This window comes from Homo sapiens, chromosome 4 (assembly GCF_000001405.40).
Source record: "Homo sapiens chromosome 4, GRCh38.p14 Primary Assembly".
NCBI lineage: Eukaryota > Metazoa > Chordata > Mammalia > Primates > Hominidae > Homo > Homo sapiens.
The window spans coordinates 134,440,918-134,459,438 of NC_000004.12; the positions used below are offsets into that span (position 1 = coordinate 134,440,918).

General features: G+C 34.8%; 1 long non-coding RNA gene across 1 annotated transcript in view; it reads left to right on the top strand.

Annotated features, from left to right (window-relative positions):
* LINC02462 (long intergenic non-protein coding RNA 2462) overlaps nt 1-18,521 on the top strand; it is a 121,637-nt gene that overhangs the window by 17,050 nt on the left and 86,066 nt on the right. The window contains exons 2-3 of the long non-coding RNA NR_147155.1: nt 14,377-14,607; nt 16,827-16,935. This is a non-coding gene — a long non-coding RNA (long intergenic non-protein coding RNA 2462). The remainder of the gene's footprint in view (nt 1-14,376; nt 14,608-16,826; nt 16,936-18,521) is intronic.

The following is an 18,521-nucleotide window of genomic DNA, read 5'->3' on the forward strand; positions in this document are numbered from 1 at the left end:
TCTTTGTTGGTTTAAAGTCTGTTTTATCGGAGACTAGGATTGCAACCTCTGCTTTTTTTAGTTTTCCATTTGCTTGGTAGATCTTCCTCCATCCTTTTATGTTGAGCCAATGTGTGTCTCTTCACGTGAGATAAGTCTTCTGAATACAGCACACTGATGGATCTTGACTCTTTATCCAATTTGCCAGTCTATGTCTTTTAATTGGGGCATTTAGCCCATTTACATTTGAAGTTGATATTGTTATGTGTGAATTTGAGCCTGTCATTATGATGCTAGCTGGTTACTTTGCCCATTAATTGATGTCATTTCTTCATATCGATGGTCTTTACACTTTGGCATGTTTTTGCAGTGGCTTATACTGGTTGTTCCTTTCCATGTTTAGTGCTTCCTTCAGGAACTCTTATATGGCAGGCCTGGTGGTGACAAAATCTCTCAGCATTTGCTTGTCTGTAAAGAATTTTATTTCTCCTTCATTTATGAAGCTTAGTTTGGCTGGATATGAAATTCTGAGTTGAAAATTCTTTTCTTTAAGAATGTTGAATATTGGCTCCGACTCTCTTGAGGCTTGTAGGGTTTCTGCCGAGAGATCCTCTGTTAATCTGATGGGCTTCTCTTTGTGGGTAACTCGACCTTGCTCCGTGGCTGCCTTTAATATTTTTTCCTTCATTTCAACCTTGGTGAATCTGACAATTATGTGTCTTGGGGTTGCTCTTCTCGAGGAGTATCTTTGTGGTGTTCTCTGTATTTCTTGAATTTGAATGTTGGCCTGCCTTGCTACATTGGGGAAGTTCTCCTGGATAATATCCTGAAGAGTGTTTTCTAACTTGGTTCCATTCTCCCCATCACTTTCAGGAACACCAATCAAACGTAGATTTGGTCTTTTCACATAGTCCCATATTTCTTGGAGGCTTTGTTCATTTCTTTTTACTCTATTTTCTCTAATCTTGTCTTCTCACTTTATTTCATTAATTTGATCTTCAATCACTGATCTCCTTTCTTCCACTTGATTGAATCGCCTATTGAAGCTTGTGCATACATCACGAAGTTCTCGTGCTGTGTTTTTCAGCTCCATCAAGTCATTTAAGGTCTTCACTACACTGTTTATTCTAGTTAGCCATTTGTCTAACCTTTTTTCAAGGTTTTTAGATTGCTCACGATGGGTTAGAACATGCTCCTTTAGCTCGGAGAAGTTTGTTATTACCGACCTTCTGAAGCCTACTTCTGTCAGCTCGTCAAAGTCATTCTCTGTTCAGTTTTGTTCTGTTCCTGGTGAGGAGTTGCGATCCTTTGGAGGAGAAGAGGCACTCTAGTTTTGGGAATTTTCAGCTTTTCTGCTCTGGTTTCTTCTCATCTTTGTGGTTTTATCTACCTTTGGTCTTTGATGTTGGTGACCTACAGATGGGGTTTTGGTGTGGATGTCCTTTTTGTTGATGTTGATGCTATTCTTTTCTGTTTGTTAGTTTTCCTTCTAACAGTCAGGCCCCTCAGCTGAAGGTCTGTTGGAGTTTGCTGGAGGTCCACTCCAGACACTGTTTGCCTGGGTATCACCAGCAGAGGCTGCAGAACAGCAAATATTGCTGCCTGATCCTTCCTCTGGAAGCCTCATCCCAGAGGGGCACCCACCTGTATGAGGTGTCTGTCGGCCCCTATTGGGAGGTGCCTCCCATTCAGGCTACATGGGGGTCAGGGACACACTTGAGGAGGCAGTCTATCCATTCTCGGAGCTTGAACGCTGTGCTGGAGAACCATTGCTCTCTTCAGGGCTGTCAGACAGGGATGTTTAAGTCTGCAGAAGTTGTCTGCTGCCTTTTGTTCAGCTATGCCCTGCCCACAGAGGTAGAGTCTATAGAGGCAGTAGGCCTTGCTGAGTTGCAGTGGGCTCCACCCATTTAGAGCTTCCCGGCCACTTTGTTTACCTACTCAAGCCTCAACAATGGCAGACATCCCTCCCCCTGCCAGGCTGCAGCCTCACAGGTGGATCTCAGACTGCTGCGCTCGTAGTGAGCAAGCCTCTGTGGGCATGGGACCTGCTGAGCCAGGCACAGGAGAGTATCTCTTGGTCTGCAGTTGCTAAGACCATCAAAAGGCACAGTATTTTGTCAGGAGTGTACTGTTTTTCCAGGTACAGTCAGTCACGGTTTCCCTTGGCTAGGAAAGGGAAATCCCCTGACGCCTTGCACTTCCCAGGTGAGGTGATGCCCTGCCCTGCTTTGGCTCGCCGTCCATGGGCTGCACCCACTGTCCAACCAGTCCCAGTGAGATGAACCAGGTACCTCTGTTGGAAATGCAGAAATCACCCGTCTTCTGTGTCCATCTCGCTGGGAGCTGCAGACTGGAGCTGTTCCGACTAGGCCATCTTGGAAGCACTCCCTTGCTTATATTTTCTTCCACTTTGTAATTTATCTTTTTCAAGTATGTGATAGTGACTAGTGTCTTTCAGAGACCAAAATATTTCAAGTTTGATGAAGCTTATGATTTTTTCCATGGTTTGTGCTTTTTGCATCCTAGGAAATCTTTTTCTATGCTTGAAAACAAAAGATTTTCTTCCATATTTTCTTGAATACATTTCTTATCTTCTGTTTTGCTCCATGATCCACTGTAAGTTAATTTCAACCCTTGATGTGAGGTAAGGATATATATTCATTTTTTTCCAAATGGATATTCATTTATTTTAGAGACATCTGTCAAAAGAATGTCTATTCTATATTCTACATTTTCACACCTTTATTGAAAATCAGTTGAGCATGTATGAGGTAGCATATTTCTTTGTTTCCTACTCTGTTCTAATCACATGCATGTCCATCCTACACAAATATCACACTTTCCTTATTACTGTTTTTTTCTTAAAATTGATCAGTATAAATACTACACTTTTATTTGCCTTTTTCAAAATTGTTTTGACTATTCTGAACTATTTGTATTTTAATATACACTAAGTTATTTCTGCTTTCAATGACTATTTTCTACTTTATGGATTTTGTTCATACATGGTGCAATGGAGAAATGTGTAGGAGAAGCAATAGGTGACAAATCTGGCTTTTTCTTGGCTAGATAAAATGTATCCAGTCATCATAACCAATACATGTTCTAAGTTTAGCTATGCTGTAATTAATATACATTCAAAACTTTCCAAGTAAATGCTTCAAATAATTCTACCAATTATTTGCCATTAGTTAATCTATCTAGCATACTGAATTATATTTTAAATATTCAGCTTGAAATACCTGAAACTATTAGATTGAAAATTAAATTTATTCAAAATGCTTATAAGCACAGGCTTTTAGCACTTAAAAAAAGTTAAGAAACCTATAAAATTCCCAAACTGAAAAATATAAATAATTTAAAAATCCATTTGTCCATTTAGACAGCTAAAACTCATGAAGCATACACAAGTAGCTCAGATTTTTACAAAAATCTAATTTTTTCAATTACATCTAATTTTGCTTATTAAAGTAATCTAGAAATCATTTTACTTGTTTACCTAAAGACCAAGGGGCATAATTATAAAAGTAACATTCATTTTATTTCCATTAGGAAAAGATTGTCTTAAGTAAAATGAAATAAGGATCTTTTTAAAGGAAAGTGTAATAGGAAAAACAGTATGTAATACATGACACAAAACCAAAAGCATTAAATTTTAAAGACTAAAATATTAACAAAACCGGATAATGAAATAAAAAATAAATAAAAAATATATATTAACTAGAGACCACTTCATGTTTGTCTCTCTAGTAGAAAATAAGTTTTCTAAAATATGATTAAGCATAATAATTTCTTGTCTGACTATTGGAAGTATTTCTTTCCAAAATGTTTTGTTTTATTTTATTTTTTGACTACACTCAGACACTTTTATTCATGTTTTAATGATACTTACCTCTCTTTTGCTCTTTCCTTTCTTCTTCCTTAATGAAATGCACTTTAGAGAATGCATGTCGTCACTGAAAAGTATTGATTTGATGAAACTGAACAAAAGATAGAGAAATAATTTGTATTAGGCAGTTTCTAAGATGGCTCTCAGTGACTATCTCCTCCAGATATTTATTCTCATTTGTAATGCCATTCCCTTGAGCATGGGCTTATCTAATGACTTGCTTTTGACAAATAGAATATAACAAAATTGGTGCGATTTCACCTTTGACATTAGGTTTCAAAAAGCATCCTGGTTGCAGGCAATTTTTTGTCGTGGGCACCTTCTCTTGTTCTCTTTCACTTGTTGTAGGAAGCCAGGTACCATGTGGAAAACTGCCTTTTGGAGATCCCCAGTGGCAAAGTGTGATGTCTTCAACCATCATCCAGTAGGGACCTAAATCTGTCAATAGTCATATGAAGAGATTGGAAATGTGTCCTCCCCAAAGAATCTTAGATGAAGGTAGTAGTCCTAGCCTACAAATGGATTGTAGTTTGTGAAATGCCCAGAGCCTGTGTACCTGGTTAAGCCATGCTTAGGTTCCTCAACTCATAGAAATTGTGATATAATAATGTTTGCCCTTTTAAACTGACAAATTCTGGAGTAATTTTTTACACAGTATAGTAGGGCAGAGAGTAGTCCCTTAAAGGATATGTCCACCAGGAATCTCATAATGTTACTTCATTTGGAATAAGATGTTTGCAGGTATAATTAAGGTAAGAATCTTAAAATGAGATTATCTTAGGTTATGTTGGGGCATAAATCCAATAACAGGGCTCTTTATAATAAGAAAGGAAGACACATAAACATACAAAGATGAAGAGGATGTAAAGATGGAGGCAGAGATTTGAGTGATGTGTCTACCAGCAAAGGAAACCCAAGAATTGCCTGCAACCAGAAACTAGGAGAGAGGCATGAAACAGATTTTCTTCAGAGCCTCCAGAAGGTGCAGATGCCTTGATTTTGCAGTTCTGAACTCCAGAACTAAGAGAGGATAAATTTCTGTTGTTTTAAGTCAAGTTTGTTGCAATTTGTTATAGCAGTCTTGGGAAACTAATGCAGCAGTAGATAAATGGCACATATGTTAGAAAAAGGAATGAGATATGGAGCATGTAATTGTCAAAATTTTACTGTAATATGTTACTTATAAATTATGAACATGAACAAGACACATAGAAGATAAAAATGATACAATAATTAAGTGAAAGTCACTAACTTGTGATAATGACAGGAAATTGCTACATGCTTTGTTTTAAACTTATTTAAAAGAATTTTTATCATGAATATAGTATCTTAGTATCTATGCAGAGCCCAACTGTAACTTAATAGTGTGCTAAACAAAGTACATTTCTGTCTTTGTGCATACACATACACACACACAGGCACACATGTATGTATATATATATATATACATACATATATATGTGTGTGTTTATGTATATGGAAATAGAGAAGATTTTAAATTTACTGAGTAAATGTGAAGTTCAAGTCCAATAAAATTCTGTGACTTATGTTAACATTCACTGTTCAGCAATATTTTGTTATTGCTTTTGTTGCTGTTCTATCATCATTTTTTTTCTTTCTACTGTTTGCACGCAATTTTAGGCATGAGAAGCCTGGGAATTGAATATATTAGACTCTTGTTTAAGGGTTCTGGATATGATTACCTTCTGTGAAATGCAGTTACTCAAAACTTGGAAGGTAGAAAATTAGTCAGAAGCCATGATCTTATGTGTCTAAGAACAGCAGCTAAAATATGACTTTGCTAAAAGGGGCTTTGCAGTGATCTTCATATTTCCCTGCCATCACATGAAGCAGGGACGTTGGTAGTGGTTTCGTACAGATTTCTGAGTTTGCATGTAAATAGCAACATTTAGACTATCAAGAATATGGCAGAGGTATCAATTCCAAACTACTTTCATTATCACCAATTTCTGCTCCTTTAGCCTGCCCCCAGTATTAAACCCTCTTCTATTTGAAATATCTTGGATGTTTGCATTATCTTTGACAATCTATGTTTGGTAAAACAGTTAAATAGAAGTTGAATTTAGAGCAAATCTTAAAAATAAAATAAGAATAAAATATTTGAAATAAAATATTATTAAAATAAAATAAAAATGAAATAAAACCATAACAAATATTACAATTTATTTTAATAGAGGTTTCATGTATAATGATGTAGCAAGATAAAAGTTTGGAGAAAATAACTATATGATTCTAGTTTTCTTTATTTTAAGAAAAAATAAAAGAAATAATGTAAAAGTGTAGACTTGGATTGTCTGCATTTTTTTCCCATATCTTAACAAATTCTGTGTGAAGTCAACCCGTAATTTAAAAAATAAAGTTATCTTATGTGTGGCTCCCCAGAAGCAGTAACTGACATAAAAACATGACTGCAAGTGTATTTGGAAGCTAAGGTCAGGAAGAAGTGTGAGATAATGACAATGTGAAATGAAGAAGGAATAAAAAACAAGAAAATGTGTATTAGTTACTGGGTTGCCACAGTGGAAAACTAGGACTTAATCCTTCTAGGGTCCCACTGAAAGAATATCTAGAACTAAAATAAATCTTAGAATTTAAAGTACTAACAGATCCTATGTGCCCTGCTATGATACTCCTAAAACAACAAACGAGTCAGATTTTAGATCTGGGTTTAATTAATCCTATCTTCTTGATAAAAATTTAATTTTTAATATGTAGACAATGGGAAGCCATAAGTGAGACTTCACTGAGTCAAGTAAAGATTGATAAAAGCTGTAACCTAATTTCCACACCAATGATAGTTGTTTTAGATATTTTTCTCAAAATGTAAAATTAATACTCATTGAGGTTCAATACTTAAAAACAAGTACCAATGAAAAGTTATCAATAATTAGATTTTGGAAAATATGAAAATTTTTATTATTAAAAGAAATTTACTAGCACATGATTCCCCTAGAGAACATATGGAGGTAATGGAACAAGGTGCAGTTTCAAAGCCACTGCTAAACTGAAAATGCCTTAAAAAGTACACATTTGATGCCATCAATATAAAGGTATTTATTTCTAAACTAATTGAAAACCCCTCATGTTTCTGACATTTAGTTTTTTTTTATTTGAAGAAACTTTAAAAGCAGGCATATGAAATATGCTTTCAGTTGGAAATGTGGGATCTAAAATGTTGAGGAGCATTAGTACAGACAGAATGATTTCATGGGGGAAAAAAATAAAAAAATAAAAAACAGGAAGAGCCTAGCATGGAAAGCAGGACAGCTCATCCGGATACCAGGTTTGGGGATGAATGTGAGTTTAAGGCTGTTTCTACTAATCACTTCCATCACACAATCATTCAAGCCAGACAACCAGTTTCACTGGCTTTTTGACCTTATTAACATGATGCTTGACAAAATTGATTCAACAATTCAGTTGAAATGGCAGGACCACAAACAGTCTTAGGCTCTGCAAATGCTACCTATAATTTCAAGTCAATCGACAGCATTCACTGTGTGCAGAGCATGTGTATAATGCAATAATTGTTTTAAACTTTTTCTCTTCTCCTAAACCTGCTAATCCTGCTCTCCCCACTTTACTCTCAAGAGATTGCTTTAATTCCTACTTCAGAGAGAAAATATACCAAAAAAAATTATATTATGACATGCCATTCACCCAAATCTTAACTGCCAGTTATGGTGTATTTTGATAAATATTCCTGACTTTCAGAGACCTCAATATGTTTATACCCTGATAACCATAGTTTTATTGTTATTGTTGTCATTGCTTTCATTTTAAATGTGGAATGTGAATTTCACTCAGCAGAGCATTCTTTTGAGGAAAAATACTATGACATCTCCAAGATCACTCCACTAGAATATATTTTTTTTTTTCAAATCCTATTCCCTTGTGGACAATATTTATTTTCTTCAATTAAACATTTCTCCAGTACTTTTTAAACCTCTGACATAGGAATTTTATGACTATGGAATGGCTTAACTGGTTTAACTAAAACCAGTTTTATTCTGATTTTTAACCAAAAAATAAGTAGAAAAGACATAACATAAAAAAGAAGAATCATTTTGTAATTTCCTTATGTTAGTTTTCTTAGCATATACCTTAGCATCTATGTAAGGAACAAGATTACAAATGTAACAAGAGCTCTCAAGTATAAAACTTCTAAAATGCTGACTAGTAGCCCAAAGATTCTTGTTTTAATACAGAGTTAAAATAGGCTACAACTCCTAGTTGCTTTATATTATACATTGTTAACTAATTCCACATTTGTGTGATTTCAGTATAATTTGGATTCATTCAGAGAAGTATTTTTTTCTTATTCTTGGTAGAAAAAATATGCAAGGAGGACTATTTGAATATAATATATTGGATAGTATAATAGGATGGTTACAATCTGTAAACTTAAAAAAAATATAGCTGCACACATAGCTTCTTTGTACTGGGGAATGCCAGCCAATTCTTGGATAAAAGGAACAATGGAGTTCATCAGATCTTCCTAACAACACAAAATGACATGGCCTGTTCTACCAAATACTTTCTATAAAATTCACTTGGCCAATCAAAGATACTTGTTTTGCAATTGAAACCCTCATACCTTAATAAGAATAGCTCATGACTAGCATGAAAAGTAAATACTCATAAAAATGTCCATTGCCTATATATTTGAATAAACCATGCTATTCAATTAATGGAGGGAAAATACTTCTGTCAGTTGTGATTCCATCTCTTCTTTGTGTGTATTTCAGAAAGTGAAAAAAAGTGATAACAGTGGAATTATTCACTAAATACCAAATTGAAAAAAAGCACTTCAACAATAAAACAAAACATAAAAACATAAACAAGATAGTAAATTTGTCTTAAATAATGTTGAGTTGTACCCCACTCCTCTCATCTTAAAGGACATTAATGAAGTTTATCTATTAATATGGACAAGGAAACTAATTCCTGTTGCCTCGTTTTCCCTCAAGCACAAGCAGTTATCTTTTTTTCCTGACTACTTAAGGGAGAGGTGGCAGTGATACTAGTAGCCTCCTGTCAGTGACATAGTAACAAGCCTAGAAATAGTACTTGAGCAAATATTTGGCCCTACCTCTGCCCATTAATCTTTGGAAATTAATAAACTTTTCTCTCTCATTTTCTTATTTGTAAATAAAGAATAAAAATGTCCAACTCTCTGATTCAAAACTACAACAAAATATATATGAAAATCTTTATCAAAAAATAAAAAACATCGAAGTCATATAAGATAATCTTAATTTGCTTTTTAATGAAGGTACAAAGAGGTTGATCTCGAAAAATACTTTGATACTGGGTTTAACATGCCTATTTCCAGCTGCTTTATCTGTTCCTGTTCAGTGCTCTTTCAGGGTTATTAACCCAACAATTATACCAATAATGCCACTGCATGTAGAGTTGAGACATTTTCCTCTCATGCATTAATAAATTGTTTTCTTCAGTATGAAGGGAAACAAATATTAGGAAAAACTAGTCAGTATTTCCTAATATTTGTCATTTGTGGGCCATATTAATTTCACTTACACAATATGTATTTTCTTATAACTTTGGTAAAGGAGAATAAAGACTTTTGCTTAAGGAAGAAAGGCATTCATTTATAATTAAATATAAAATTCTAGCAGTCAGAGACACCCAAGTTAGAATTATGTCTCTGACTCTTATAGACTTTTAGCAATGAGGCAATTACTTAACTCAGTTAATTAAGCTGTAAAATAATAATAATAATAATATCTGTCATGCAAATTTGTGAAGATAATTATAAAATGTATATAAAAGTTTGGGATAAGGACGAACAGGCAGAAAGCATATGAAACTGACAACTATTAGTATTATAATATGGTTTCCAATATTTCACAACTACTATCAACCTTAGTAAATTTAGGTAATCATTATAAACTTCAATTCTCTAGTATAAAATGAGATATTAAGGTAAATGTTGGATGGCCACTTCTAGTTTCACGAATACTACAACCCACATCAAACCACAAGAAAACATTTTACAATGACCACCTACTTCAATTAAATAAGGGGATTTGTTTCCATTTAATGTATGAAGCAGACTCCCTAGAAAAGTTCATCACTTACCTCCATTCATATAGAGCAGAGGTAGGCAAACATTTTCTATAAAGGGTAAGACAGCGAACATTTTAGCCTTTGTAGGTCATACAGATTCTGTAGCAATTCTCAATTGTGTTGTAGCACAAAAGCAGCAATAGACAGCATGTAAACAAGTGAGCATAGCTGTGTTCTAATAAAATTTTATTTATGGACACTAAATTGAATGTTGCATAACTTTAATATGTCATGAAATATTCTTATGCTTTTTTTTCAAGGCCTTAAAAATGCAAAATACCTTCTTAGATCATTGGCCATATAAAACAGCTGATGGGCTGGTTTTTGCCTGTAGACTTCAGTTTACTGACCCTGCATAGGTCATTTTTGGTTAGTTGGAACTAAGCCCTAAGTTTTAAAAAGAGTGGCTCTTTGTCTATTAAAAAACATCAAATTTCATTGAATGCATTTTTTAATTATTTTTTTTTTCCAAATTAATTTACTTTTTAAAAAAAATGTTTGAGTCAGAACCTCACTGTGTCACCCAGGCTGGAGTGCAGTGGTGCGATCTCTGCTCACTGCAACCTTCGCCTCCCAGGTTCAAGCAATTCTTGTGCCTCAGCCTCCCTAGTAGCTGGGATTACAGGCGTGTGCCACCATGCTCAGGTAATTTTTTTGTATATTTAATAGAGATGAGGTTTTGCTATGTTGCCTAGGCTGGTCATGAACTCCTGGCCTCAAGTGATCCACCTGCCTGGGCCTCCCAAAGTGCTAGGATTACAGGCGTGAGACACCATGCCCAGCCTGTATTTTAAAAAATATATGCATATCTCAGGTATATATATTTTTGAGTTATATTATCATTGCTTACTTGGTAGATAAAAGACTAAAAGTCTTTTGCAAAATTTGTATTTTTGATAAAATTTTAAAACATCAATGATTCTTTTTCATAAGGGTTAGAGCTCTTTTCAGAATGACGAAGTCAAAAAAATGTGGAAACAATATTTTATTGCCCCCCCCAGGTACATATATTTGGCTTTATTCTGATGATAATAGTGGTGTCTGTCTCAGTATGCAGTCATACATCATTACACATTGAAACAGTGTTAATATATGCCAGAACTGCAGCAGTACCAAAATATTTGTAGACCTTGGGAAACCAGCACAAACTACTGATTTTGCAAGATGCATGAAGAGAAAAACAAACTTCTTGATGACAGTGGTTAGCAAATTGTTTTCAGAAACAAAGAGAAACAGAGTAATGTAATTTTTCAAATACAGAAGTAGAATTCAGTACAAATTAATGACTAGGGGTATGAAGATGCACGGCAGTATTTTTTTGCCAGTGGCGTACTTACCTTGACATGCTTAATTTGTTAAGAAGGAAAACCTTCAGAAGGTATTTATAAATTAATGGATCACATCCTTTACTTTCCAACATGGTTTTATGGTTGTTGCCTTTTTAAAAACTTTTATTTGTAGGAGAGGTAAAAAGAAAAACCCAAACTGGAAGAATGTTCTTTGTTCTACTGGGAAACAGGGTTAATATCATCTGCAAAGCAAGATAGTGACCACAGTCAGAATTTAGCCCTTTTAGTTGCATCTTTGTTGTTGTTGTTGTTGTTGTTTGTTTAGACCAATTATATGTTCTCACATCTTTGATTGGAAATCAAATTAAATTCATGACTTTTTGAAGCAATTTTCAAGTATTGTCACCCAGATATTGTCATACTGAAACCTATAGATTGTGGCACAGACTGGCTAAATTCCATCTTGATTGTGCCAGAGAATGTGCTATTTTTAATTATTCCTTAGGAAAAGATTATGTCTTTGACAGCTATTGTAACAGAGTACTGGCATAGCTTTTCAACAAGTGAGTATTATTTTTGGCTGCTTCTACCTGACCTAAGAATTTTACACACAAAATAATTAAATAAAGTTTAAACAAATTTATTGCTTAAAGGAGCTCTTTTTCCTAAATGTGAATGACTATCTCCTGATTCTTTTGGAGTATTCTGTTTCTTCCTTTGTATTGGGTAAAAATGGTATATTTTTACACAATTCTTAAATCAACTGTTGTAAAAAATTGATCACTTTCTCATTGGATTTGTAAAATATTACCACCATATGGGAGAAATATATAACTGTATATGATCTTTTTAACATATACCATTCTATTCATTTGACTTTTTTTGGTATATGAGATGAGAAGAAAAGAAAAGGAAAAGATCTTCAGTCCTCAATTCTAAAACATAGGTATACACGTATCCACTTTTGATGTGACCAAACTTAGATCTTATGTTGGGGGTAAAATGCTATGTAAAGTAATGTAACAGGATACAAAAGTGTCAGAGAACCTGCAGAACCTCTGAGAAGATGATGTACACCATTGCTACATGGAGATTAAGAGATCTGTAGCTGGACCCAAGATATTATACCTGTACGCACATCCTGGAACTATCGATTTATGTAATTTTGACTTTGTGGATGCAGGACTGAAGGTCTTCTACAATCTAGGAAGAAAAAGAGAGATTAGTATGAGGTGAAAGGGTAGAGACTGGGAGAAAATGCCAAACACATTAAGAATCTGCACAGCAAAAGAAACTATCATTAGAGTGAACAGGCAACCTACAGAATGGGAGAAAAATTTTTCAGTCTATCCATCTGACAAAGGGCTAATATCAGTCATCTACAAAGAACTTAAACAAATTTACAAGAAAAAAAACAACCCCATCAAAAAGTGGGCCAAGGATATGAACAGACACTTCTCAAAAGAAGACATTTATGCAACCAACAAACATATTTAAAAAAGCTCATCATCACTGGTCATTAGAGAAATGCAAATCAAAACCACAATGAGATACCATTTTATGCCAGTTAGAATGGTGATCATTTAAAAGTCAGGAAACAACAGATGCAGGACAGGATGTAGGGAAATGTACCCTGTTGGTGGGACTGTAAGTTAGTCCAACCATTGTGGAAAACAGTGTGGTGATTCCTCAAGGATCTAGAACTAGAAATACCATTTGACCCAGCAATCCCATTACTGGGTATATACCCAAAGGATTATAAATCATTCTACTATAAAGACACATGCACACGTATGTTTATTGCAGCACTGTTCACAATAGCAAAGATTTGAAACCAACCCAAGTGCCCATCAATGATAGACTGGATAAAGAAAATGTGGCAAATGTACACCATGGAATACTATACAGTTGTAAAAAAGGATGAGTTCATGTCCTTTGCAGGGACATGGATGAAGCTGGAAACCATCATTCTCAGCAAACTAACACAAGAACAGAAAAGCAAACACCGCACGTTCTCAATTATAAGTGGGAGTTGAACAATGAGAACACATGGACACAGGGAGGGGAACATCACACACTGTGGCCTGTCATGGGGTGGGGGGATGGGGGGATAGCATTAGGAGAAATACCTAATGTAGAAGACAAGTTGATGGGTGCAGCAAACCACCATGGCACGTGTATGCTTACATAACAAACCTGCACATTCTGCACATGTAGCCCTGAACTTAAAGTATATATATAAAAAAAGAATGATAAAAAGAAAGAGCCATTAGTGGGAGTCTACTGTTTCTCAAGGAAAGGACAGCAGTAGAAGTCAAGGTATGTAGTAGAAGAAATTTTTACATTGTGACTGCCTTCCTCTGGAAAATATGGCTCAATGTCAGGCCCTTTGTCAACTTGAATGCTCTGACTACCTCAGGAAAAATAATATCTTCAAGAAGACAGAATGTAGGAAGTTTTCTTCTCTATGGATTAAGGTAAGTAAACAATAGAAGGAAGAAAAAAATAGTATTGCCCCACCACAGGGAAAAACCATTTTTCATTCATTTATTTATTCATTCACTTATTCTTTTTGAAAAAATTTGCCTTCTTGGCCCTGTAAATCTTTACTGAAAACTACTATTTTAGAATAAATGTGGCATTATGACTATAAAAGTACCCATCACTTGGCTTTGCTGAAATATAAAACAAATCATAAGAGAGGAAGGGGATCTAATATACATAAGAATCTGAGTACCTTCAGGAAGGACAGAAACAAGTCTATACCTGATCATTGGTAGTTAAAGTTAGGAGAAATGTATGAATGGGCAAATTGGCTCAGAGCATAATAGTGCAAGAGCAAAAGTACTGATGCTATGTTACCTGAAGGCAGTGGCATCTAGGCTACTGAACTAATATCAAGGAGAGGAGTACCGGTTCTGTGGAAGACAACTATTACCTGCCTTGCAAGAGGCTGATATCAGAAGCTTTTTCAGAAGACTTAGTGGATTGCTAGAGTTCTCAAAATAAAGTCTGAGCATAAGTATATGTCTTTGTCAGTTAATGGTGCTATAAAAAATTACCATAGACTAGGTGGCTTAAACAATAAACATTTATTTCTCACAGTTCTGGAAACTAAAAGTCCATGATCAAGGCATCAGCAGATCAACGTCTGGTAAGAGTCAGCTTCCTGATGAGCAGATGCCTCCCTGACTTAATCTCACTTGTTGGAGAGCAAGAAAAGAGGATGTTTTCCTGTCACTTCCTATAAGGGTGCTAATCACAGTCATGTGAGCTCCACTCTTATGACCTAATTATCTCCCAAAGGCTCCATCTCCTAATATCATCATATTGAAGGTTAGAATTTATTTCAATATATGAATTTGGGATGATATAAACATTCACTTCATAATAGATATAGACTGACAACTGAGGCCAGCTTGAGGAAAGTTAATTGTGCTTGACCTAAGAGGGACTAAGATCCCTTTCCTTTGTAGGATTATGGCAGTTTGTACTAGGTCCTACTCCAAGAAAATATTATGAAGTTGACCATCAGTGTTTGTTCTGTGGAGGACTGGAGTTCAACAAAGCCACTGTGTAACACCAAAGAGTAAAGGCAAAAAAGAGAAGTTTAGTGGTATTTATTCTTAGATGAACTCTTAATAGTTTAAGTGTGAAAGTCATTCAGACCACCATTATGGATTGCATAAGCTTCTATAGTTTTAGGAAATCTGAAGAGCATACCAAGAGTTAGATACTGGGATACATCCCAGTTTGAAATGTCAAACATTTATTTTATTTTACTTGAAAACTAAAATAGATATGTGGAACTTGTGCTCAAAATTTTAGTATCCAGTCATATTTTATGTAGTATGGTATATATTGAATACTTACTAAAGTCCATTAATCCTTATGTGTGATCTATAAGAAGAGAAGCATTTCCTTTTTGGAAAATTTTTAGTTGTGGATCTCATGAGATAAACAATAATTGTAGTATGGGAGTGGATTCTAGGATTTTTTTTAATCTTATGAATTCCAAGTTTGGAACTAGAGTAAGGTGAGTGAGATAGCTGCATCAGGTTGGAAAAATCAACGAGGTACAAAACAACTACATAATCAATATAAACATATTTACTGCAATGTTTTAATGTCAAATGTAAAATACAAAATAGAACATCTTAAAATAAAGACAGGATTTGATCCTATAATTGTACAAATCTTCCTCACTTACCTCACTCTAATCCTGGTGTTTGTTCCAATAAAAATTTATTTACAACAAGTTAATCCATGTGCCGTGATTTGCCGAGGATTTTTTTAAAATAGTGCATGAAAATATTATATCGATAGATAGATAGATAGATAGATAGATAGATAGATAGATAGATAAACTGTGTTTCAGTGCCCTGTTAAATGTTGCCTCAAAAGAAAATGCCTTACTGGCCTCAGCCTATTCCCTACCTACTCTGGAAAACATCAGATTTGGAAAAGAAAAGAAAACAAAAAGAAATAGGGAAACAAGAGAAAGCCAAATAAGTAAAATCAAAAAGCAGGGAAAAAAGAGAAAGAAGATAAAATGTGGTAAGAATTTAAACATGAACTATTTTTTAATCTAGTAAAATAATGTAAAATAAAATTCTCCAAGGATATGAATGTTTTAAAAGGTAAGAGTAAGTCAAATATATCCTCAACTGAAACTAATGTAATAGGGCATTCTCTTGCATTCCTAGCAGATACCTCTGAGTTCAGGTACTTTTCCGTTGTGAATTCTGAGCACTGAAGATTCTTGAATGCCTGGAAGTTGGGGTTGGGGAGTAAAAGAGAAGTAAACCAACTCCTGCTTTATTTTTTCCTAAAGCGCTTCATGAAAAGTAGCTTTTTCTTCTTCAGAAATAGTAATAACTTGACAATTCAGAGTCTCGTGTATCCATCTCCCTCAAACATTCAAAATTTAAAATTCCAAACTGGGTAAAATCCTAGAGAAGGATAATATCTGCACTTTCTCTTAGCACTGCTAAATAGAAAAAACAGGTTGAGATTTTTGAAGTGGAATTGAGGATAACCGCTACTCTTAAGTCATGTGTTCAGTGTTATCTTGTAGCAGGTCAAGACAAAGGGTTCTGTAACAAGACTACCATCACTTAAATCTCTGCTTTTCCACTTATTAATCTGTGATCCTGAACATGTCACTTAAACTCTCTTTTCTTCAGTTTACTCTTCTATAAAGTGGGGATAATGATAGTTCTTACTTTATAAAGTTATAATTAATGTTAAATGAATTAAAGCACGTGGAGCTTTTGCCTGGTGCATAATTTTATAAATAACATACTTACAATAAGTTATTATATTCCTATCAAAAGTACCATTAAAATAGGAGATTAAGAAATCAGAATTGCAAAAAAATACATACCATTTTATACAGTGAGAATATTTTTGCAAACCACCAGTGAAATAGGAATAGTTGATAGGAAAGCCCTGAACAACTTCAGCTAGAGATCTTTAATAAAGATTATTTCTTTGTAACAAGGATTCCATTTTTTAGCTTGTAAACAATTTGGGTTTACTCTTTTTGTCCAAAGAAATGAAGCATAAAACATGAAACCATTAACATGAAAGCAGTGTTGGAAGAAGACAGGAACGTGGAAGAATAAGACATAAAGAGAGAGAGAGAGAATGAGGGAACTAAAGGTAAGCATTATGCAAAGCATTTTTTTCCATTCAACTGACAGTAAGAAAATATTCCACATTGCAACTAAAAATATGAATGCACAAAAATCAACAAAAACTTTATGAAACAATACCTTTATGAGATGGTCTCCTCTCCTCTCCTCCTCTTCCCTTCCATTGTCTTCTATGTTATTCTAACAGATTTTTTATCTAAAGTGAATAAAAAAATGCATGAATAAATTTTGAGCAGTACTAATAGTACCAATGACATTATTTAAAGTGAGCAAACATGACATGATAGATAACAAACATGATGATATAAGACATTGAAGGAAGAAAAGAAGAAAAATAGGAAGAAAGGAAGAAGGGAGAAAGGGGTGGGAAGAGAGGGTAAGAAGGAAGGAAGGAAGGAAGAAAGGAAGGAAGGAAGGAAAAAAGTAACTAGAATTTGAGCAATATAAGAAGAGAATTCTGAATTAGACCAAAGCAGCAGTATTTCCTAGATCCAAACACAATATAATGTCTTCAATTCCATAGATAGATGAAATTTAAAACTAGTAACAAATTTGACCTTTACCTAAGTTATAGTGTTATTTGTAATTATTTTTAAAATTATGTGTAGAGATGATTTCATTACTTATCAAATAGTTAATTCATGTCATAAAACCATGTGTGAAAAATTAGTATCTTTACCCATGACCCCTTGAAAAATCCTTGAATATAAAGGACAAGGAATTGTCAAAGAACTATAGCAGAGAAGATTCTAGTGCCTTGTGTTGAAACACAAAGAGGTGACATTCCTTACACCAGTAGTTCTCAGACTTTACTAAGCACACAAATCATCTGCAGGGCTTGTTCAAACACAGATTACAAGGCCCCATACCTAGAAATTCTGATTTAGTAGGTTTGGGATGGCGTTTGACTGCTTCACGTTTCTAACAAGTTTCCAGTGAATCTAATGAGAACCACTGTTTCACACAATGATTTATTCACCCCAGGCTTCAACATAAATGCTCACATTTTCTTTTCACATTATTCCTGAGAGATAGTGATACAGTTTGGTTATTGTCCACACCCAAATCTCACCTTGAATTGTAGTTCCCATAACCACCACTTGTGGTGGGAGGGACCAAGAGGAACACAATTGAATAATGGGGGCAGTTTCCCCCAAGCTATTGTCATGAGAGTAAGTTCTTATGAGATCTGATGGTTATATAAGGGGCTTCCCCCTTTGCTCAGCCTTCATTCTTCTCCTTTCTGTGGCCAAGTGAAGAAGGACATGTTTGCTTCCTCTTCCACCATGATTGTAAGTTTACTGAGGCCTCCCCATCCCTGTGAACTGTGAGTCAATTAATCCTCTTTTCTTTACAAATTATCCAGTTTGGGGTACTTCTTCATAGCAGTATGAGAATGACCTAATACAATCAATTGGTACTGAGGTAGTGGAGCACTGCTGTGAAGATACCCAAAAATGGGCCAGGCATGGTGGCTCATGCCTGTAAATCCAGCACTTTGTGAGGCTGAGGTAGGTGGATAACCCAAGGTCAGAAGTTCTAGACCAGCCTGACCAATATGGTGAAATCCCGTCTCTACTAAAAATGCAAAAA